General features: G+C 56.8%; 1 protein-coding gene and 1 long non-coding RNA gene across 2 annotated transcripts in view; both read right to left on the bottom strand.

Moving 5' to 3' along the window:
* The window catches only part of MPPED1 (metallophosphoesterase domain containing 1), a 95,835-nt gene extending 91,552 nt beyond the window's left edge, over positions 1–4,283 (bottom strand). Inside the window, exon 1 of the mRNA NM_001044370.2 lies at positions 4,139–4,283. The gene's annotated coding sequence lies outside the window, so the exon portion shown is untranslated. The remainder of the gene's footprint in view (positions 1–4,138) is intronic.
* A 2,332-nt stretch (positions 4,284–6,615) lies between these two features.
* On the bottom strand, positions 6,616–15,966 carry LINC01639 (long intergenic non-protein coding RNA 1639). The gene is made up of 4 exons (NR_146918.1): positions 15,843–15,966; positions 14,066–14,192; positions 11,415–11,518; positions 6,616–7,211 (listed from the first exon to the last, which is right to left on the bottom strand). It is a non-coding gene; the product is annotated as a long intergenic non-protein coding RNA 1639 (long non-coding RNA).
* Positions 15,967–24,238: the final 8,272 nt, after the last annotated feature.

The following is a 24,238-nucleotide window of genomic DNA, read 5'->3' as shown; positions in this document are numbered from 1 at the left end:
TGCAGGAATTTGCAATTAAGGATGAAACCTCCCAAGTATGATCAATTAACTAACGTGCCTGAATGACAAACTTACAAATGCAAAACTCCATTCTCACCAGCCCCCAACCACTGCATTGTGCAGGGAACCCAGGGCAGAAAAAGGGTTAGGGGAGAGAACCTTTGCCTCTTCTGTGAACACTGAAACACTAAAAAGCGCTTTGTCAGGAAGAAGGGAAAGGCAGGTTGCAGGAAGGGATTACATTTCTCAGGTAGCCAGTGCAATATATTTTGCAGGCTTGCAGACTGCAGCACTGTCCGGAAAATGCAAAAGAATGAAATGAAGGGGAAACGATGAGAGTGTTAGAAATTGGAAGCAGGCATCATTTTCTCCTTGAAGTGATGAAATTAGCCTGGGCGATGCCAAAAGTCTCTTCGTGTGCATCAACGCTGAGCCTCACATCCTTCTTGGAAGGAGGAGACGGGAATGCGAAAGTGGGCAACAGACAAGTCACATTTTATAGAAACAAACTTTCAGGTGTAGATTGGGGTGGTGGAAAGAGGAGCCTACTCATCCCTGGCTTTGAACTGGATGCAGAGCAGAGTCAACCAGAAGGGAGAATTTTATTTATTTATTTTTTCCCGCAGCTGCTTCTATTTATGATGATGACCTGGTTCTGACATTAAGCTGGCCAAGTTCAGGTCCAAGAAAATCCCCCACAGAGTAATTCATGAAAAGGCCTGAAAAGGCCACGGAACACCTCAAATCACAATTTGATTTCAAAATTAATACCTATAATCTCAATTTGTTATGATTTTTTTATGAAATTGGGCTGCCCTCATTGGTCACAGATATTTTAAGTGGAAATAAAGTATAACTAAGTCTTGTCTCATTAGGGGGAAAAAAGTCAAAATAAAGTAAAACATTTGTGTTGGCAGCAGACCTGTCAGGTCACCAGGGAGAACCATGGTGAATCAAATTAACTGAGAAGCAATTTATACCTTTCCTCCAATACCACCCCCAAAAAGGGGTCTCTTATTTTTTTCCTGTTGGGTTTTTTGTTTCTTTCCTTTTTTTTTTTTTTTTTTTTTTGCTTTTGACATTTTAGTCACCTCTTCAAACTCAAGTCAGACAACTTCAGTGGCAGTCTGGAAGGGATGCTCACTGATGGTCTCATTACATGGGGACATCCACACAGCAAGAACGAGGGCTGCAGGGAATGGCTTTCGGAGTGCCCCAGGCTACATTAAACGGTTCTTGCTGTGGGAAACAGTGCCTTCATCCCCTCTTCTCCCTGCCACCCCCAAGTGTTGGACACTTCTGGTCCTAGAGGGTGAGGCGCCCAGGCCAGAAGGAAGGCCCCTACCTCTTATCGGAGGTGCCATCGACTTTGATCTGTGGGTACGGAGGGAGCCTGAGAAGCTATTCCCAGGCCTCTGCACCTGGGGAGCCCTTTGCCCCAGGACCCTTGCTCCAGAAGGGCAGGCAGACAAAGGTACTTATTGCTGAACGGAAAGATCTCAGGGAGAAGAAGAATGGAAAGGGGGAATTCGTGAAAAGACCCTTTTTTGTTCCCGGTGAGGGAGGGGCGATGGGAGAGACATGTCACATTGTCACATTAAAGACTTTGACAGACAATCCAGGGATAACGCAGAAATTCCACCCTTAACTGCAGCCTGATGCAACTTGAAAGGCATTAACTAACCTCCACTAATTGCATGTTTTTCTGTGCATAATATTTACTTGTTAAAAGTCTTTGCCTGGCTGATTAATTTCCTCTGCCCCCGGTATTCATGATCAGTTCACAGGCCTGAAATTGGGAAAATGAAGTCATTTTGATAGACTAAAAGATGATTGCACTTTGGGGAGGGTTTTCTTTTTTTCCAGAAGTCCAGACCCGCACCCAGAATGCTGATTTTTCTCCTTAATGCTGCCCTTCACGGAATCCCAGCGACCACCGTCATTCCTCAAACAAGCAGAGAGAGATGTGTCCTGTATAAAGTGAGCATACCAAGGCCCGTACTGCCTAGTTGGGAAGGTAGCAAAGTTCAAAGAAGAACAAATGAACTTAAGCCACATTCATTGGATGAAGATTTAAGAGTCTCATGGGTGAGCTGGGAATTTATTAAAAGCAGGCTTTTCAAGAACGATGATTCCCTACATCAGTCTGTGTATTCCTGACAGTTGGGGCTCAAGTAAAACACCCTAAAATTCTTATTGTTCGCCTAGATCTAAACCTGTCCTATCTGTCTACAGGCATAGCCCACGGGGCATCAGCCAGGGTGGATGTGAGTGATTCTAAGCGTACCACGGGGTGGTTACATCAGAGGTACCTCCTCGGCCATGTAGGTGACTCTCTGAACCCATCCACATCACCAGTACAGGGACCTCATTCAATCCAGGTCTTCCGAAATTCCTGGGGCCGAGAAATAAATAGGAAGGCAGTCCCACACTGAAACACTTCCGAACACACGATTAAGCCTCCGTGACTGGATTATCGCCTTTTGACTAGCCATCGCCCAATTAATGTACCTCCAGTGAGCAAGCACTAGAATCGATGGAACCATTCCACCGAAATCCATCTCCAGAAAAAGATTTTACAAGTGTTGTGGGGCTGCCACTCAGAAAGCCAATTTGCAAGGAGCCCAGCACGGTGAAGCGCAGTTTATCATGCGTGGTTCCCACACAGAGGGCCCCTGCAGACTGCGCCTGGCTCCAGAATGCCTCCCTAGCACCACAAGCTCAAACGCATTGAGGTTCTCCCCTGCCTCAGCCCGGCCGAATCCATCAGCACCCTCCCCAAATAGTCTCTTAGAGCCCTGGCTCCTGTACACCAAGATCTGGCTTCCGACTGGACGTGGCAGTCAGCTGGTGGCCTCTCCAACATCGCCCTGTGCCAGGTTTCTCACCAAGTTGGTTTAATTTTTTTTTTTTTTTTGCAAAGTCCAGTCAGATTATTGACAGTGCCTGTCTGCCTGACCCGCCCCCGCCCCCCGGCGCCGCAGATCCCTGCTAACAAGTCTCCCAGTGCCATTCAACTCCCGTGAGCCAGCTCCGCCATTCAACAGCCAGCCCACTTTTGTTCCCCCAGTTTAATTTCATAATTGTTTGCCACTTAACAAGCTCTCCTCTGGGCCATTCAATAGAGCAGGGGAAATGGGGAGGGGGAAGGCAAAGAAACTCTGGGAGGGGAGCTGGGAGCCAGGCCAGCCCAGCACTGGGGAAGAGACATCCCAGAGAGGTCAGCTGGACAGGGGTGGGGGCCAGTTCCGGAGTGGAGCCTCCTGACACCAACTGGGCCACCCAGCTTGAGCCCGGAGAGGTGGGAGGGAAAGGAGCAGGGTGAGTTCCGAAGGCCAGGCCGGGGCCTGCCAGACTCCTGGGCACATCAGTGCTCTGAATGACACGCCTCTGGCCCTGCCAGGGTGAAGGGAGACAGCATGAATTCACGCTCCCGTAACATGTCCCAGAACAAACACACAGGAGACAGAACTGCTCCTTAGTTTGGGCATTCCATGATCAACATTCCCTTTGAGGGCTGGGACCTGTCTAGGTAGCCACTGAATCCCCTGGCCGAGCACATAGCAGACAGGAATAAATATGTGTTGAGTGAGTGGATGGATGGATGGATGGATGGATGGATGGATGGGAGGGAGGGATGAATGGATGGAAGGAAATGGATGAAGTTTCCAGCAATACCTAGCAAAAGTGGCCACTCGGCCAGCGTTCGTTCCCTATCTCTTCCCCCCCAAGTGCCAGCAGGGGCTTGGCAGCGCACACAGTAGGCTCTCTACAAGCGGGGGCTGCTATTGTTACCACTATCATCATCACTGGCACTCCACCAGCCCGCTGCTTCCACCAGCTACTCCGCCAGCAGCAGCAGCGACTGGCGAGCAAGGGAAAAGTTTCGCTGACCCCGCGGCCCCAGCCGGAGTCCCGCGCCCTGGCGGAGCCCCCTCCCGCCGCCGCCCGCTAGGCAGGCGGGGCAGCTGGGGTGCCCAGCCCGCTTCCCGCACCCGGCAAAGGCGGCCAAAGTAACTTTGCGGGCGCCCCTGCGCAGCGCCGCGGGCGTCGCCCAGCGCCTGGAGAGGGTCCCGGCCGCGCCCCGCGCCCGGCCTCCCGCCCGCGCCCGCCGCGCCCCGCCCGCCTCCGGTCCTACCTGGCCCCGGGCTCCTCTTCGGCGGCCGCGGCGGCTGCGAGCAGCAGCGCGCACCGAGGGAGGCAGGGGCTCCCGGGAGGGAGGCGCGCAGGGGCGGGGGCTCCTCCGGCGGCGGCCGCCTCGCCGCGCGTCCGAGGCTGCAAGTGGGAGCCAGACTCCTCCTTCGTGGGGCGGGGGGCTCCCCGCGCCCCCTCCGCCGCCCGCCCGCGCGCCGCGAGGCTCCGAGCCTCCTTGGCTCCCCCCGCCCGCCGCCGCCCGCCTCCCCACGCCCGCCCTCCCCGCCTCTCCGCGCCCGGCCGCCGGGAGGGGCGCGCTCGCGGCCTCGGTCCCGGCCCTTGCGCCGCCACCCGCCGGGGCCCCCGCCAGGCCCGCCAGGCCTCGGCCCTCGGCCCCCGCCCGGGCTCGGAGTCCGCATCCCGCTGCGGAGGGACAGGGAGCGCGGCCGCGGGCCTGGACGCGGGAGGAGGAGCGGGGCCCGCGCTGCGGAAAAGGGAGGGGGCCGCCCCACTGCGCCCGGCGCCCCTCTTGGCGCCCGCCCCCAGCCCCGGACCGGGCCGCGCGCGGGCTGGGCAGGGAGCGGGGCGGGGGCGCTCTCACCTCCGGATCCGTGGCCTCCGCAGCGGGCACCGCGTGCAGGGGCGTGCGCGGCTCCTTCCGGGGCGCCGCAGCCTTCGCCCGAGGCCCGGACCCCCTCCTGGGGCCGCCGGGGCACCCTGCTGTGGGCCCCTCCCGCCCGGGGTCTGGAAGGTCCCCCTCCGGAGACGGAGACACTCTGACCCCAGCTCCCAGTCTGAATAGGTCGGGGTCCTCCTCCTGGGCCACCATCTCTTCCACTCGGGAGTCACAGGTCCCCAATCCCGGGCACAGCAGGTAGCCTGCAGCGGCCGGAGCCCCAACGGGATGGGTAAACAAGTCAGGAACTCAGACGGCGCGACACCCAGTGTAAAGAGGCCCTGCCTTGCTGGGAAGAGCAGAGACCATCGCCTTCAGTGTCGGGGGTCACCCTGGGGAGTTTAAGGCCCTGTGGCTTCCAGCCCCTTGCCGCGGGTGGGACGGGGATTCCAGGGCCTTGTATAGTTAGGGTGCAGATCACTCTGGCCTGGGCCTCCCAGACTGAGAGGAAGATGAAAAGGGGCTGTGGCTCCTCAGAGGCCCAAAGCCCCTCAACAAATGCTTGTAGGGTCTCCCTTCACCAACACACACATCACACAATCCCCAAGGACACCCTCTGCGGGCCCCTCAGGCCTATTCTGCCCCTGAGGACTGCTATCTGGTGTGGCTTCCTGGAGGTGGGGACAGCCCAGTTGAATGAGTGTATGCCAGGAGAGAAGGCCTGGAAAAGACATCCAGGCCGAGGGAATGCGGCATGCAAAGGCCTTGGCATGTGAGTTCATTGGGGCTAGAGACAAAGGAAAAGCAAGGGAGGGAAGATGAGGTGGCAAGGCTGGGAGTGAGGGAACAGAAGCCAGATCGGGAAGAGCCTTGGATAGACTTTATCAGGGGCAGTGGGAGCCATAGAGGGTTTTTAAGCAGGGCTGTGACTTGGTCACGTTTATCTTTTTACAGCTTGTTCTGGCACCTCTAAAGACAGAGGTAGAGGGGGAGAGGCTGGGCTATGGAGGGAGAGGATGGAGGCCTGGGGCCCTCAGGCCAGAGATGGGGGGCAAGGGCTGGCCGAGGAGTCCTGAGGCAGTCACCCCCTCCTGCTTCCTTGTCTTTAGACCCCAATTCTCTCTCAGGGAATCCCAAACTCAACCCGGGAGCCTCTTTCTCCTCCTAGGCTACAGGCTTCCTGAGCACCGTGACTTCGAGGGAGGTGAAGGAGAAAACTGTCATGCCTGCCTGGGAAGGCGGCTTGGACTCAGTGTCTCAGCAGACCCCACCTGCCGCCTGCCTGGGACAAAGCCACAGCTTGGCTGTGGCCTCTGGAGATCACAAAGGACAGTGACAAATGTGCCTTCCTGGTCCCTGGGTCGAGAGCAGAGGTTCCTGTGACACTTGTCCTCCAAGGCCAGCTTCCCCACCACCTCCAGTCCTACCAGAACTACCCTCAAGTCCCAGAGCATCATCTCTTACCTTCCCAGGGTACACATTTATTGAGCATCTACCATATTCCTGGCACTCGGCACTTGCTTTGAAGCCAAGCATGAGCTCTCCACCAGAGGGACCTGGTGCTACCTGCACCACCCAGTCCCAGGCGCAGAGCTCTCAGCTTGACCCACACTGTCTTATGTAGCCCTCATGCCTCCCCTGGGCCAGGCTGCATCCCAGAGGTCAGCCTCCCCAGCGCCTAGTGCTGCATCCCACAGGGCCTGGCACTCTGTAGGTGCCCAGGGAATGGTCCCTAAAAGATGAGGGAATGAGGAGTGTGGGATGGGCAGGATAGACCCACTCCTAAAAGAGCAACCATTCTGGCAAACACAGCACACATTCTGCTTTTGGAAAAATTTAATAACACAGTGGCACTTGTTCATGGAGACTAATAGAAACACCACACAATCCCACACTGCTAAACCAGCCAGGAGATGGCTCGTTCTGCTGGAAAACATTTCCTAGGCGCCTACTACGTGCTGGAGGCCAAGGCAGAGAAGGAAGAGAAGGAAGGCACTCTGTCATGGGAGAAGCAGAAGGTCAGCAGATACTCATGACACCAGGGAGAAGAGGGCAGCCCAGGGCAAGGAGAGCAGCACATGCAGCCAGGACACTTCAGAGGAGGCAGTGTGTGTGCTGCAGAAGAATCTAGGGATAAATGGGAGAGGGGCAGCCAGGCAAAGGGACCAGCCTGTGCAAAGGCTCAGAGGCTCCAAAGTGCATGTGCGATATCCCCTGGCCAAGAAACTCACCTTCCAGAAAGGCGTCCTGAGGCAGTAACTGCAGGCTGTTTATAGCAGCCCAGAAGTGAAAGCAACCTAAATGCCCAGCCAGAGGGGATCCGTTTTTTAAATCCTGCTATGTCTGGGGAGTTTCAAATAGCCAAGTCCTGTTGCTGAAATGCCACATGGGAAAATGGGCTCCATGCTCACCACCCATCCCGCGAACGAGCGAAGCAGGTTACACCAGAGTGTGCCCGAATCTGTGTTTTGAAAAATGAAAAAATAGAGGGAAAGAGGAGAAAGAAGTCAGGAAGTAAATACAGCAAAATTTCAACCCTGATGATAAGATTTTGGGTGGGGGTTGGGGGAGTCTACTTTATTTATGGGAATTTTTTGTCTCCTACTTTCCCGCGATCATCAGGATGTCACGAAGGATGGTGAGTGTGGGGCATTCAAGGAGGGGTGTGGGGTGTGTGGGGTCCCTGCAGGGCAAGGGCTGGGATGAGCTGGAGGCCTGGGTGGCTTCGCTGACAGAGTGACCTAAGCTTTCATGCCTTCCTCGGGTCCTTCATGGTGACTGGCTCACAGCCAGCATGCCAGAAATGTTATTAATCAGCAAATATCCACATGCACTGTTTTAGGCCCCAGGAATCACTCTGGCAGAGAAGGGCAGAGGAGTTCAGAGGACATGAAAGTCATCATGGGCTGGGGCTTGGGAGAGGCTCCCAAGAGGAGGTGACGCAAGCTGGGTCTTGAAGGATGGAGCCCTAGTTTCATATCCCCACCTCGGCCCTATTAGACCCCAACAAGGTCTCTACCTGCCAGCCAGGTCTGTGTGGATCCTGACACAGCCCAGGGCAGGGTCAATTTTAGTCCAGCTATCTGGCATGGTCCTCATCCTGGGCCTTCCTCTAGGCCTAGAGCCCAAGGTGGAAAAGCCACACCTTATCAGGGACCCTGGGCCCTGCTCACCTCCAGCAGGCTCAGGTACAGCCTGCAATGACTATACCTACTCTTAAACCATGCCCTAACCAAATTCTGCTTTTGCCATTTAACAGCTCATGAGTCTGAACCTCAGTCTCTTCTGTAAAGCTGATGCAATAATCCCTACCTCAAGGGCCGTGCACATGCAGAGTGCAAGGTGCACAGTAAACATTCAGCAAGCAGTGGCAGCTCACACTGTCACAGTTCTAGATACCAGGTCTGGGGATCTGGATTCTAAAACCCAGTTCTGTTACTAACTTGCTTGGGACCTTGGGACATTCTCATGTTTCTCTGAGCCTCAGTTTCCTCAGCTCGAGGAGAAAGGGGATGGGAAGGCTCACTCCTGAGCTTGCTCATAGATGAAATGACAAGCTATGGAAAGACCCCAGGAGCTCCCTCCTCCTGCCCCCAGCTAGAGTTCCAATTGGACCACTGGCCACATGAGACGCCCACCCCACTCTGCAGCATTCCCTGCCATGTAACTCCAGGCCATCACCCAGAAAGCCAGGCAGGAGCTGGATGGAGGCCAAGCCCAGGCAGGGCCGGGCTCCTGTGCAGTCTGCAGGAGCCAGGAGGATATGCTCCCGAGGTGGGGGCTGCTCCTGGTGCCACTCCTGGTCCTCCAGTCACCACTTCCAAGCCTCCCCTGTGGGTGGCCTGAGCTCACGGTACCTATGGCTCTTGGCCCCTCACATGCTGCCTCTGAGCCCTTTGCTGTTTGAGAGAACTTCTCCAGATGGCTTCTAGCTGGTTTATTTCTCACAACAGCCTGGTTGGGACCTCAGTGAGGGGCAGCCCTCCCTGTGAAGGGAGACTAGAAATCCCATTTTATAGATGAAAAAACCGAGGCTCCAAGAGGTTTCGAGACCTGCCCAGCTGGTATAAAGTTGAGATAACAAGGCCCATCTTCAGACTCTAAGACACCCGCTCTTCCCTCCACCCAGCTCCCCTGCCCCCCACCTGGTGCCAGACCAACTCCTTCAAACCCTGCTGAGGCCCCCAGCACATCTCAGCTACCATCCCAGCACTGCTACGGGCAGATGGGCTCTTCTGAGCTGTCCAGGGTCCTGGCCATGCCCAGCCCTGCCTCAAGGCCTTCTCTGATCCTTCCCTGGCTGCCACCTCTCTGACTTCCTGGGTAGCAACAAAAAGTGGGAACATGTGGCTGGGCTTGGTGGCTCATGCCTGTAATCCCAGCACTTTGGGAGGCCGAGATGGGTGGATCGTCTGAGATCAGGAGTTTGAGACCAGCCCGACCAACATGGTGAAACCCCGTATCTACTAAAAATACAAAAATTAGCTGGGCATGGTTGTGCATGCCTGTAGTCCCAGCTACTCAGGAGGCTGAGAGAGGAGAATCGCTTGAACCCGGGAGGCAGAGGTTGAAGTGAGCCGAGATCGTGCCATCGCACTCCAGCCCAGGTGACAAGAACAAGACTCCATCTAAAAAAAAAGAAAAAAGAAAAGTGGGACTATGTGATGCCGGGCCTGGCCCAGGTCTTCCGGTCCTATGCTGCCTGTGTACCCTTGGACACCACACTTCAACACTCAGGGCCTCAGTTTCCTTTTCTGAAAAATGGGCACAGCATGGGGCAAGCCAGGAGGTGGTTCAGACTCAGCCCACCTCTGCAGTTGTCTCTGCCTCCTCCTCTGGGCCAAGCAAAGCCAGAGACTCAGAGGCATTTGGGCCCAGCCCTGCCCTTGAGCAAGAGGTCCAGAGGCTGTGAGGCTTGAGAACACAATGACCATGCCCTGCCAGGCCGAGGGGCACACGGGCTGAGGAGCACAGTGGGGCCTCCCGTCCCTCCTGGAAAGCAGAGAGGAGAGGAGCTTGGAGAGTGCCCTTGACAAGGGCAGAGAGGGCATAACGGGCAGAGGGAGCAGAAGCAAAGGCCTAGAGGCAGGAACCAAAGGGGAGGCTTGCTCAGAGAGTGCCTGGGAGGCAGAGGCGGCCCCTCTTCGCTGCACTGTCAGTGGCCACAGAGAAGAACACCAGGGAAAGTGGTCGGGGCCAGGACCCGCCCTGGGGAGATCCCTCAGGCAGTGGGCAGAGGCGGAAGACTGAAAGCCAAGTGCAAAGCAGAGGCAGCAATCCAAGGGACAGAGTGTGGGGCGGGGACAGAGGGATAGCGAGGAGGGGTCCCCCCGAGGCAGAAAGGCCAGAGCTACATGGCTTGTGGCATCGCAGTCTCCACAACACCAGCTGACCCTTGCTAAGCATTTGCTCAGCCTAGGGGCTGTGCTGGGCTCCTCATTCAATCCTCATGACCACCCAACCTGTTCACTGTGGAGTGGTGGCAACGGTGGCATGAACTGGGACACTATGAGGTCCACAGGCTTCCAGTCACCCCCTCCAGCTGAGCTTCTGATTTGTCTAACATCCCCGAGCTCAGTATCCCCACCCAGAGAGTAAGTTGCAGAGCCTGGGGCATCAGGCTCTGAAAACCAGGCCCTTATCACTGGGGACATTTTTCCCTACCGTGGGAGTTTGGGTGAGCTCACCAGCTCATGGCAGGTCCCCTGTGTCCTCTTCTCTCTGGGATTGACATCTCCAGAGCTGCCCCTACCGCAGGCTCATTTGCCCATGCCACCCACAGAAGGCCCAGGTGTGGGGGCCAGCAGCAGGAACCCTGGGTTCAAGTCCAGTAGTCTGACCCCAGAGCCAGGTCAACAGTGGTGCCAGAGTCAAATGTGGGGAAAGAAGGAGCCAAACAGGGTTTGCTCCTGGGACCCAGGAAAGGGATGAGTGAGGGAGGTCCTGGCTCCAGCCATGAAAGCCCAGACCCAGATCTCTGCCCACCCCCAGCCCCAAACACCACCCTCACCCACACCAGACAGGTCCATGGGTGGCTCGGATAAGAAAGGGCTCGGGACATGGGCCTGAGTCTTGGCACGAGTGTCCTGGCCAGGACCAAGCAGACCCTGCAGCGAATGTTCGGGGGTGCAGAGGGCTGGAAGATGAAGGCAGGAGGCAGCAGCTCAGAGCGGGCAGCTTCTTCCAGGGCAGTGAGAACCAAAATCTGTGCATCCCCATGCCCTGTCCCCTGTCCCTTACTCCTGCATCGGGCAGTACCCAGGTCCTGTCCACCTGCTCCCGAATCCGCCTGCAGTCCCTCCGGCCCTCCCCACCCTCAGGCCTCACTGAGCTCCCGGCTCACCCTGCCCAGCATCCTGTTTGGGGAGGGGGTCCTGCCTGTCCTGCCAAAGATATGCTCACCCAGGCAACCTCCCCCTCCTGGCCCACCATAGGCTGTGGCTGCTCTGTCCTCGACCTTGGCCCACGGCCAGTGGTAGGGTCTGGGCCTGTGAACCTTGGGTGGAATCAAGAGCGAAGGAGGCAGCTGGATGGGCCTGAGGTCCAGCAGCACACAGCTGAGGCTTCCCGCCATGCAGGCGCCTTCTGAGAGCCCAAACCAGCACCACCCAGAGCCCCACCCCATTCCTCTCCTGCCAGAAGTCCCACTCCCAGTATCCCTCACCTGGGAGAGGCACCGCAGTGAGCTGGAGAGAGCACAGCCTGAGGCGTCAGACAAGCCTGGGCCCTCTATGTGGTTGTGGGCAGGGTGCCGGCCTGCTGCCTCACCTGTAACATGAAGGAAAAGACACTGCCCTGCAAGGTTGTGCCAATGGCATGGAATCAGGACCGTGAACTGCCTAGTGCCAGCTCTGATTCCAGCAAGTACCAATCAGCGGTGGTCCCCAGGACAGCCAGCAGGTGCCTGCCCCAGCCTCCCCAACCACAACAGGTCCCATGCTATGCACTATGGGACCTGCATCTCCATTCCTACTACCCAGAAGACACTCAGTCAACACAGCATGCACCAGGATGCATCAGACAGAGGATCCTGGGAAAGCACCCTAAAACGGAAGCCATTATCCAATGGTGAGAGGCACTTTCCCAAGGAGACAATGCAGGAGAACTTGGGAGAGATCACAGAGCTGGGGGAGGCACAGAGGAGCTGGGGAAGAACAGGAGAGCTAGGGAAGGGATAATTGAGGTGGGGAGGGTCAGGAGAGCTGGGGAGGTACAGTGGAGCCGGGGGGAGGGTCAGGAGAGCTGGGGAAGGACAGTAGAGGTAGGGGAGGGACAGAGAAGCTGGGGAGGGACAGGAGAGCTGGGGGAGGGACAGTAGAGGTGGGGGAGGGACAGAAGCTGGGGAGGGACAGGAGAGCTGGGGGAGGGACAGAAGAGGTGGAGGAGGGACAGTAGAGCTGGGGGAGGGACAGTAGGACTGGAGGAGGGACAGGAGAGCTGGGGAGGGACAGTAGAGGTGGGGGAGGGACAGAAGAGGTGGGGAAGGGACAGTAGAGCTGGGGAGAAGGAGCAGTGCTGGGGAAATAGCACCAGACAAACTTTGCAGCTGCCCCCTGCTGCCCTCCTCAGAAAATAGGCCTCTCCCCTGCATTCCTGCAAGGTCCACCTGCTCCCTTTGCCCACTGCTTTTCCCCTGCCTGGGACCTGTTCTACCTTTGGGAACATCTACCTGTGAGAAGTTTTTTCTTCTGTTGAGCTTGGAACTTCTCCCTTTGCTTCTCACTCCACCTCCAGGACTGCACAGCACCCTCAGCTCCCTCCTGGGTTCCCCAGGGAGCCTTGGGGCCATCAGTGGAACTCCCTGAGCCTCTTCCTCCCCAGGCTCCACAGCCTGCCCTGCAGCTGTCTTGGCTAACCTGGCTGCACACCCCTGCCCTTCTCTGGATGAGCCCCAGTCTCTCTTTCCCCTCAAGGTGAGGAAGCCAGACCAGCTCAGGCCAAATGCAGCTCTTAGCAGGGTGTGGATGACACAGAACCCAGCTAGGCAGTGTCATGTGTCTGCCATGGCAGTCATTCACACCCTACTCCAAATGTTTCCAGCTATTTTCTAACAGCGTAGTTGAATTAAGGTCCAGTGGCCCAAGCCTGTGATCTCAGCACTTTGGAAGACTGAGGCGGGTGGATCACCTGAGGTCAAGAGTTCAAGACCAGCCTGGCCAACATGGTGAAACCCTGTCTCTACTAAAAATACAAAAATTAGCCACGTGTGGTGGCGGGCACTTGTAATCCCAGCTACTCAGGAGGCTGAGGCACGAGAATCACTTGAACCCAGGAGGCAGAGGTTACAGTGAGCTGAGATCATACCACTGCACTCCAGCCTGGGCAACAGAGTGAGACTCTGTCTCAAAAAAAAAAAAAAAAGAATAAAGTTAGACCTGGTGGGGACCTCAGTGCCCTTCTCCAACCCCACTCTATTCCTCCACTGTACAAATAGGAAAACTGAGACCCATGCTGAAGAAGAAGGAAGTGTAGGAGAGGAAATATTCTCTCCTCAGATTCCAGGAAAGGATAAATGGCTCCTGAAGAGGAGGTCAAGGTGTGAGGGCAAGACTAAAAAGAAACTTTTATGTTTTCTGTCCAGGATTGTTAATGCCTATTACCTGAGGCTGCAGAGGCTGCTGATAAACTTTACTATCTAATTCATCAGGAAAGAATCTATTTTGCCAATGAGTCAAGTGAGGTCAGAGGCACTGAATGACTTGGCCAAGGGTGCATTGCAACCCTGCCCAGATCTGCATGACCCCAACCTCCACATACTTCCACTCCCTGACACCACTCTGCAGGCAGCAGAGGGGAGGAGAAAGGTATGTGTGCATGTGCAGTCCCCAGGCCATCACCCAAGGGGACAGCGCTCAGCCTCCCTCCTGACTCCCATCCCTATACTCCCCTGACCACCCTGACCCTGCAAACCACTCACAGAGATCAAAGCTGCTATGTTTGAGCATCCCCCTTGAGCTGGTCACTCTGCACAAATTATGCATTTAATCCTCATAACCACCAGGAAAGATGGCAGTATTATCTCCAGTTTACAGATGACAAAATTGGGCTGGAAGAATGGACTTACCCAAGGTCACACCTTGAGTCTCTGGTAGGGCTGGAGTGGCACCCAGTTCTAGTGCCACTAGCAAAAGAAAAAGCCCAGGCAGGGGCAGTGCAGAAACTACTCAAACTCTATACCTCCCACTGTGTGTCCACAGCAGACATCACTAATCAATCACAGAACTCTTTCCTATTAAACTAGAATCCTTGCACAGGGCTCCAGGCAGCCATTCTGAGGGCTTGGCCCTAGAAACAATATCCACTCGCCACTCCTACCTGGGCCAAGGTCCTCTTGGAGCAGTCTGAACATTCCACTCCTGCCCTTGCACTCTTATTCAGCTGTGACAGACCAGAAACTGGCCCAGAATCCCAGAGTATTAGACTGGAAGGAACTTTAGGCAATCTGTGGGCATATAAGTGAACAAAGAGGTGAACTGACCCATGCATACAGCAAACTGGTAAAGCAGCCTCCGCACCAGGCCAGGCCTGGAGTTCCTGCTCCCTGTCCCCACCCCAGTGTCCACCACTCAGTTTCCCCAAAATGCAATGGAGCCCTGGGGACTGCCAGCCTTGCAGGGTGCCCCCAGAACCTGTGCCCCACAGGCAAAATGGCAGCTGGAAGTTTGGATGGTTATCTCAAAGCTTGCCACAGAAGCTGGTATCTCCCTGTGAAAGACCCACTGGGCTCCCAGAGGCAATTACGTCCCTGTAGGGCTGGGTCTGGAGCTGACCAGGGCCACACTGTGGTCCAGCAGGGCTCTGCCACCTCCACACTGCCATCTCTCCCCAGACCTTCCTCTCCTCACAGCTCGTGGGGTCTCCAGTTCTCTGCCTTGAAGACAAGCATACTTTGTATCTCACTGAACCAAGGAAACCCTCACCAGCCTAAACCCTAAGCTGCAGCCCTTCCTGAAACTCCTCTCTCCCCTCCAGTGTCTGCCTCCCTCAAGAGCCCTCTACTTGGTACCCCACTTCTCCACACCTTCAGGTACGCCCGGTGCACCCACCCCTCTCCATCTGCATTCATACTTGCTCGCATCAACTGACCTAAGAAACAGGCCTCTGTCCCTCCCACCTCACCCTCCTACTCCTGCCCCATCTCATCCACCTCCTCAACTGAGTTTCCTTAAACAGCCATCGCAGGTGCCCTCTCTGCTTCCCTGCCTCCTCAGGCCAGGCCAGGGCCACCAACGTTCTCCCTGGTGTCTAGTGTGGTCTTGCTCAGACCTCATCCTGCTCACTCCTGGCATATGGGCCCCTCCCCCACTCTCAGCCGCCCGGCTGTGGCCCTCAAGTCTCCATGGTCTGGTCCCAGAGTCCAGCCTCATCCAGATGCACTGACCAACTTTCTTCTCCTGCCCTGGGACTCCATGCTGGCTCAGTCCTCTGCACCCTTGATAAACAATCACAGCAGCAATAACAAAGATACTGCTTCTCTAGAACGAACATGGGCCCATCACTGAGCTGAGCATGAATTAGCCAGTTCCGTCTTCCATCAAACCTATTGATTTGTTGACTCCAGAAAAATTCAGTGAATGCCTACTCTGTGCCACTCACTACTCTCAGCACTGGGGATACAATAATGTAATGATGGTATTGTTCCAATTGCACAACTGTGGAAACTGAGGCCCAGAGAGGCTAAGTGACCTGCCTGGGCTCACACAACCACGAGGTGGGTTCCAAATCCTACACCCGCACACACACCCGTGCCATGGCCTCCCTGTGGGCCACACACTCCAGAACCCTGCCCCCATCCCCCACTCCTCTGTCGCCCCTGGAGCCCAGCATCCTCAGTGCTTTGTTCTCTCCAGAAGCCCCCTCCCACCACCGCCACCACCCGCCGCCAGCCCGGCTGCTGCCTCCCTGGGAGCTGCTGCCAAGCCGTCAGCTCCTGTCATCACCCCAAGGCAGCCAGAGGGAGCACCAGCAGCAGCTTTGGCACACGCCACCTCCGGCCGCTCCACAGCCACCAGGCCAGCAGGATGGGCGCCCCTCCCGCAGCCATGCCATGGGAGTATCAGTGCAGGGGGATCCAGCCCTCCCCATTACAAACCAAGAAACCGACGCTGGAGAAGAAACTCTGAAGTTCAGCCAGGCCTCCGGTGACAGTGGCTAAATTTGTAAAATCAACCCATCGTGGTGATGATCCAAAGTCTCTGGAAGGCAGTCCCTCTGCTGGCATAGTCCCCTGTTCAACCTGCCACCAGCCTCTGGGAGCTCAGTGGGGTGGGGCACTTCCTCAGAGGAGGGTTCTGACCTCCGCTCAGGTCAAAGTTCCCTCTCAGGTGCCCATGGCACCCACCCCAGGTGCTCCGCCAATAGTCAGCCCTGGGGTCACCCAGCCCTGAGGTCATCCAGCCCTGAGGTCACCCAGCCTTGAAGTCACCCAGCCCTGAGATCACCCAGCCCTGAGGTCACCCAGCCCTGAGGTCATCCAGCCCTGGGGTCGCCCAGCCCCAGCTCCCAGGTGACCTCCGTGGAATCACTCCTGTCCCCTCCCCTTCCTCCTGGTCAGGCAGGTGACCGCGGACGAGGTGTGGACTCAGGTCCTGTCCTTGCCTGCCTTCCTGCTATCCCTCCTGGGGGAGGAAGCCCTGGGAGGGAGGCGGGCGCCCTGCTGGGGCCACATGGGGACCGAGGAGCACACGTGGCCAGGCCCGACCACCACGAGACTGTGCGGGCCGCCTGGGGCTCCCCCACAGGCGGGGAAGGCACCCCCGCTGCGTGACTCTCTCGGCTGCCACAGGAACCTCGTCCGAGGAGTTTAAGGAAAAAGGTTGTCCTCTGAGGGGGCCATAGGTTGAAGGAAGGGGCAAGAAGGCAGTGTGTGGAACAGACAGGCCCACGCGGCTCCCAAGTCGCTGCCACCTCCAGGCTCCAGGTCTCCTCCCCGGGTTCAGAATCACAGGAGAGAATCCCATTGGGTTTCACTTGGGTCACGTGTCCAGCCTGGACCAATCAGCCATGGCAGGGGTGGGGCCATCTGGAGGGAGTCTGGCCAGTCCCAGAGAAGAAAGAGCCTGTGGGCGAGGCAGTCACCGACACGCAGCTTCCCATTTTACAGGAGGGAGGTGGACAGGCCCCCAAGGAAAGATCCCTGGGCACTGTGTCCTTGCGTCTCTGGATCAACCCAGACAAAGGCCCTGCAGTGGGAGGGAGCCACGTGTGCCCTGGTGAAGAGGAGGAAGAAGAGGTGTGGTAGGTCCCCAGTGGAGGTGTGTACCAGGTGTGCCCTGGTGGAGAGGAAGTAGGGTAATGTCCCAATGGAGAGGACCCCCGAGGCGGCCGACGGACTTCGGTCCATGCAGCAAGACAGACATGAGAGACCCCTGTTTCCAACAATGACACTGGTAATAGGAGCCCAGGAGATGACTGGGAGGAGGGAGGGAGTGGACAGGGAGAGATAGAGGGTGAGCAGCTGAACCCAGGCCACTGAGGACAGGTAGAGGGAGAGGAGCCACCGGCCTGGGCTCCTCCAGGACACCCAGTGGGGCTCGCTGGGTGACATGGGGGGATCGAGGGCAGGAAGCCAGCTAGGGGGAGGATGAAGAGTTCAGTTGGAAACACTTGAGCATGAGGTTCTGTGGGGTACACAAGAGAGCTGGCTAGAGGGCAGGGGCCACAAGGAGAGAGGCCTGAGCTTTGATCGGGGACTTAGGGGTGACTGGCAGTGACACAGGTGGCCCAGGAGGCCACGGGAGTAGTCAGGATCTTATAGGAAATGGCCAGAAGAGAGGGGGCCAGGACTGGGTCCTGAGGAACCCAAAATCCAGGAGAAGGGTGCAGAGGAAGGAGTGCGGGGAGAGCAGGGAGGGGTGAGACCAGATCCTGTAGGAGAACTTGGACTTAGCAATGGGATGCCATAGGGGACCTTGAGGAGAGGGTCCCCATGGGGGCTAGGATGATGGTGATAAGAAGGGGAGACATCCCCCGAAAAACGAGGCATCTCCCTATGCCTCTGAGTCTCCAGCACTCGGGAGCGATCCTCCATTATGTTGAGAATAATGACTCCAGTGTCCATCGGGGGCAGAGGTTTCCTTGGCTAGAAGAGACCACTGTCTGAAATGTGTTGGGAAATGGCTGTGCTGTGTTCCCAGGGCCACCTAGCAAAGCCAAGGTCATCCACATTTGACAGATGGAAAATGAGGGGAAGCAGCTCATCCAAGGGGCACATCCATGGCAGAGCTGGGACCAGGATCAGGACCTTGGTGTCCAGCCTCTCTTCCTGGCCCTGACCACATCCCAACTGCTACTTCCAGTGAATGTCATGGCCATAGTGGGGGAGACTGGTTAGACTTCCTCTCCTCAGGCCTTGGCCCTCCTTCCAGGGGCCTGAGCCAGACCTCTGCTTGACCATGATGCCCTCTTTAGCCCGGCCTGGGGAGGCCAGGAAGAGCCCAGCCTGCAGGTGCCCCAGCTCTCACATGGAGGCCTCAGGTGGGGTCAGCTCCTGCCAAGCCCCGGATGTCCTGGGCAGATGCCCACTCTGGTCACCACCAGCAAATGAACTCCAGAGAACAGCAACCACACTCACTAGCAAGCCAACACCAGCAACCCCACATACCAGCAACCCCGCACACCAGCAGCCCCGCACACCGGCAGCCCTGCACACCAACAACCTCAGGAAGGAGGCAGTGGGCATTTGAGTTCTCAACGAGGGCAATTCCAGGACTATTGTGGGAGCTTTGGCACTTGTTGGACCAAGATTCCCGTTCTGACTCTGCCACCTGCCACCTGCCCCCTGCACAACCTTGGGCAAGTCCGGACACCATGTCAAAACCTCAGTTTCCTCATCTGCAAAATGGGCTTTCTATGCCCATCTGCCAGGAAGATGAGGATTAAGGGGCCCCCCTTTGGATAGTTGCCTGGAGAGCGAGGGCCCCTGTTTATGTCAGGTATTGAGCTCAGCACCAGCAAAAGAGGCACAGGTGATCCAGTGCAGAGCCCAGCCTCACATCGCTCACTCCAGGGTCCTGATATTTCCTATAAATGTGATCCAGGATTGAGTTCCTGGTTCCCTGCCTTCGTCTGCACCATGCCCTCTGCTTACTGTGCCCACACCATGCCAGTTTTCCAGGCTGTCGCTAGCCCTTGGCCTGTGTCTGCACCCTCCAGGCTGACCAGTGCCAACGTGGTCCCAGCCTTCTCCCTCTCTTTGGCGGCAGTCATTGGTGCCACACAAACAGCCCATCTGAAGCTCACGTTCAAACACAGCCACCCACGGGCCCAGGACACTGCAGGAGCCAAGTGGACGCCCCTCCCCTTGCACCCCTCGCAGTGAGGGAGGGCGGGCAGGACCAGGCGGCCCGCACAGGAAAGCGGGTGTTTACACTGCAAACAGAGGCTGAGCAGAGATTGTGCCGTGGATTCAGCTTCAGGGAGGTGCAGACGCCCAGGTGCCAGGCCTGGTGTTTGCCCCCAGCCCCAGGGGTTCTTGCTGCCACCCGCAGCGCGGAGCATTGCTGAGCTGTATTTGCCCCCAGCGCTCAGCCTGTGCCGTGTGCGGTGGCGGCGGAGTGCCCTGGCTACAGGGCAGCCGCTGGTGCCTGCTCACCCTCCGCAGGCTGCTTCCTTCTGCCTGGGATTCGGCTGCCATGGCGCCTGCTGCTGAGCAGCCCGGCTCTTAACAGAGATGCAGGACCGATCCTGCTTCCTGCCCCAGGCCCTGCCCCAGCCAAGGGCCCACCACCCCCAGCCTCATCAGCTCCCCACTCTCTCTGTCCTCACCTCCCTGCCTGCCACATCACCCCAGACTCTAATCACTGTGAGCGCCGCCCCAGCAAAGGCCATTCCAGCCCTCCCTCATCCCTTTGACAAGCAGCCCTGGTTTGGGCCTCTCTGCTCCTGCCAGTGGTGGAGGTGAAGGAGCAGCTTCTACCCAGGGGGCGAAACAGAAGCCTGGAAGAGAGGCCAGGACCTCAGGCTCTGAGCCAGGCGCCCAGCCCCACCACTCAGGGGCCGGGTGGTGACCTCGGGCAATCACTGTGCGGCTCCGGGCCCCTTTCTCCTTCATCTGTAAAATGGGAAGATGCCAATCTTAGTCTCCACCTCGCAGGGCCAGCATGAGGATTAAATAAGTCAGGGCAGTAGAGCATTTAGAAAAGTATCCAGCTGGGCGCCGTGGCTCACGTCTGTAATCCCAGCACTTTGGGAGGCCGAGGCAGGCAGATCATGAGGTCAGGAGATCGAGACCATCCTGGCTAACATGGTGAAACCCCGTCTCTACTAAAAATACAAAGAAAAATTAGATGGGCGTGGTGGGGGACGCCTGTAGTCCCAACTATTCGGTAGGCTGAGGCAGGAGAATGGCATGAACCCAGGAGGCGCAGCTTGCAGTGAACCGAGATCGTGCCACTGCACTCCAGCCTGGGCGACAGAGCAAGACTCTGTCTCAAAAAAAAAAAAAAAAAATAAGAAGAAGAAGAACTAAAGAAAAGCGCCCAGCACAGCCTGTGAACTCCGCAGGTGACAGATGGTGGTACCTCACTGTCATCACTGTGCTGGGACCAAGGGAGGTGCCAGGAACTGTGGGCCCAGAGGAGGGTGAGGGTGCCTTACACACCTGCCTTCATCCTCACAACCCCTGAGAGATGACTGTTGCCAGACCCCTGGAATACAAGAGGAAATCGCGCCTGAGCCACCAGGCCGGGTAGAGCCTGGATTTGACCCACCAAGCCCGGGTGAAAGGAGGAGGGCACAGTGCTTTACTGTGGTAGGGAGGTGGCTTCCCGAGGACCTACCCAGGGCTCACCAGGGCCGATCCCAATGTCTCTGTCCCTTAGGAGGCTGGCAGCCCTGGGGTCCCATCTCAGGCAGAGCCAGGACAGCTATCCCTCCCACTGGTCCACATGTCTGGCCCAGCTGTCCCCTCCACTGAGAGGCCTTCGAGTTTCCCAAGGCTTCAGCCCCATCGGACCCCCCCACACTGGGCTGGAGCCGTGCTGGGCAGAGCTGGAAACAGGGACAACATCACCAGCCCCTGGCATCCAGGCCCTCCCTTCCAGGCTGGTGAAACTCCATGTCTGTACCAAGGTCACCTCTACTATCCACGCTGAGCGGCTGGGGTGGGAGGGAGCCACAAGGAGCCCCCTCTGCTCTCAGAGCCCCCCCCACCAGCATTCTCCTGCCCAGAATTTCCCCAAGACCCAACTCTCGTCTCGACTGCCTTAAGCCCCAGCGCTTGGCAGGATGACATATCTTGGAACAAGCAGGAAGAAGAAGGGAGGCAGAGAAAGCCCAGCAGCCTGCTGGCCAAGGCTGCCTGCGATTCAGGAGGAGCTGGGATCCAGCCTCATTCCCTCATCTGTGTGGTGAGAACCATGGCACCTAGGGGAGGCCTGGCATCCTCTCTGAGCCTCAGTTTCTTCATCTGTAAAATGAGGCTGATAACATCAGGCCCTGTGCCACAGGACTGTGGAAAAAAGTACCCAAGATGGAGTTCCAGGCAGCAGCAAGCAGGTGGTAAGCACTCAATGGAAATTAGCTGTGCCTGTTATCATTGCCCCATCCAGGTCCCCCACACCAGCTCTTACATGAGAAAGGCTTTGATGAGTGCTATAGCATGCAGCTGGCTTATGAAGAAGGGTGGATGTGGGAGCAAAAAGGCCTGGCAAAGTGGGAAGAGCCTGGTGAGGGGGTCAGGCACACATAAGCTCAAGAGCTGACTCCCTGATGTAAGAGCTGGGCCACCTTGGTCATGCTGTTTAACCTCTCTGGACCTCTTTGCAAGAATTAAATGGGAAAAGGTGCATGAAGGGGTCTAGGAGGTGTCAGCACACAGTAGAAGCTTCATTAATGTCAGTCTCATTAGCCCTTCACTCCTTGGATTTGTGAATAGTAGAGAAAAAATGCTCTTACACACCTATGCATTCTCCGTCTCCCGCCATCTCGCTCGAAACCCTGATTTGGCCAGGCCCGGTGGCTCACGCCTGTAATCCCAGCACTTTGGGAGGCCAAGGTGGGTGCATCACCTGAGGTCAGGAGTTCGAGACCAGCCTGGCCAACATGGTGAAACCCTGTCTCTACTAAAAATACAAATATTAGCCAGGTGTGGTGGTGCATGCCTGTAATCCCAGCTACTGAAGAGGCTGAGGCAGGAGAATCGCTTGAACCCAGGAGGCGGAGGTTGCAGTGAGCTGAGATTGTGCCACTGCACTCCAGCCTGGGTGACAGAGCAAGACTCTGTCTCAAAAATAAAAAAATAAAGAAACCCTGATTTGTATCATCTGCCAATTTCCATGGTGTAAATACTCCCACTATGATCGATTTCAAGCTACCACAAGCTACCAACCTAAGCAGTGTCGGGAATAGCTATGCACAGATGACTGTCATGCATGATGAGAGCCAGCTCCATGACACCACAGCTGTTCACAGCTCCCCTTCTCCACCATCCACCCCTCTTCCCAACCCACTGCTCTCCTGCCACACCCACCATGTTTCTGGTCTCACACATGCCAGGGGTGTTCCTGCCTCAGGGCCTTTGCACTGAACTGCTATGTCCTCTGCCCAGAACATTTCTCCCCTGGTTGTGACATGGCTGCCATGTCTTGCTTTCCAGATCTCACCTCAGATATCACCTCCTCCAAGAAGCCCACCCTGATCACCTTGCTAATATTGCTTCCCCACCCCACACACACCCCTACTGCTCTGAGATTTCATGATATTTTATTTCCTTCATGGCACTCGACTCGTCTTGAAAGTCTGGCACACATTTATCTGTTGTGTGTGTTTATCTGTTTACTTTCTGTCTTACCCTCTACGGGGTTGGCTCCATCAGGGTAGGGCCCCATCCCTGAGGTCCCTGCTGTGTCCTTGGTGTTTCACACAGTGCCTGACACATAGTAGGTGCTCAGGCAATATTTACGGCACAGATGAACGAACGAACAATTGAACTAGGAACGTCAGGACCCACCTGGGCTGATCTTCCCAGGCCCTGCCTGGCCCACAGCCCCTCCCCCACCACAGAGTCCCCATGCAGCGGCTCTAATTAGCAGAGGTCCCCCCCCCGCCACCCAGTCCAGCCCCCTCGACTACGGCCCCATTGTGGACCCTGTAATTGCAGAGTCTCCTGCCTTTTTCTCCCCCACCCCAATTCTCCCTCTTCAGCAGAAAGAGGCCGGCCCCATTGTGCAGCTCCTGTTGACACAGGGATGACCTCACCGGGGGCCTCCTGAGAGGGGCCCAGCAGGGGAAAGGGGAGTGGGGAATAGAGGGGTGGCAGTGGCCCGGCCCAGGCTGGGAAAGGGCTGGAGGCTGAGGCCTGGGACAAAGGGCCACAGGAGGGTGAAGCCAAGGGTTGGGGGTGGAGGAAGAAATAGAGAAAGAGAGTTTCCAGGGGTAAGACAAGGGTGCTTTTCATTAGAGGGATACTTGAGGGAGGGAAGATTTCATCCCAAGAAAGGATCCCACAGGAAGACTGGGCCTGACGGCCATGTTCTTGAGGGAGTTTTGGAGACACAGAAAGACAGACAGACCTAGGCTTAGGACCTGCCTGTCGTGAAGGCTTGGAGCAGAGACTCCCCGAGCCTGGATCTTCATCTGTAAAATGGCAAATAATAATACCTTCCACCTGGGACTGTCTTGGGGTCTCTAGTAGATCACAGAGGCCAGGTAAGGACATGGTAAAGGCTTGATGGTCATTCCTCCCCACCCACTACTGACTCCGGCACACACATACGTGTGCTGTTGTTCTCTCTCTCTCTCGTTCTCTCTCTCTCTCTCTCTCTCTCCTTTTACAGACTTTACTCATTCCTTGCTGCTTCAAGCTGCCCACCATCTGGCAAGGTCCCTACCACAGTGACCCCCGGCTGAGCCTGGGCACCTGCTGTCTCCTGCTCTGGGCTTTTGCACTTGCATGTTCATACGTGAGCCCCCAGCAGGGCCACCTGGTGTCTGTGCCTGGATCTCCGCCCCAGGACCCTGGTTATTGCTCCAGCCCTGAGCACCCCACTCCCAATCCCCCTACCTGAGGGGCCCTGGGAAGGGAGCATCTGCCCCATGACACCTGGGGAGCCCTGGGTTTGCCATCAAGTCCCTCTCCCTGGGAATGGGACAATCCCTGGGTCAGGACAGCTGCCAGATCCCAGGGAGCCCCATGCACTGGAGGGAACGGAGCGGGGCTTGGTGGGGCAGCACGTGGGCTCGAGGAAGAATGGGGTTCCTGGCCAGGCCTTCCTCCTTGTCTATGAATCACATTTAATTTTTTTTTTTTTTTTTGAGACGGAGTCTTCCTCTGTTGCCCAGGCTGGAGTGCAGTGGCACAATCTCAGCTCACTGCAACCTCCGCCTCCCGGGTCCAGGCAATTCTCCTGCCTCAGCCTCCTGAGTAGCTGGGATTACAGGCACCCACCACCACGCCTGGCTAATTTTTGTATTTTTAGTGGAGACGGGGTTTCACCATCTTGGCCAGGCCTGGTCTTGAACTCCTGACTTCAGGTGATCCACCTGCCT

The sequence above is a fragment of the Homo sapiens genome, chromosome 22 (assembly GCF_000001405.40).
Source record: "Homo sapiens chromosome 22, GRCh38.p14 Primary Assembly".
In the NCBI taxonomy this organism is placed as follows: domain Eukaryota; kingdom Metazoa; phylum Chordata; class Mammalia; order Primates; family Hominidae; genus Homo; species Homo sapiens.
Note: the sequence above shows the minus strand (reverse complement) of the source record. Positions and strands in the feature narration are given on the sequence as shown.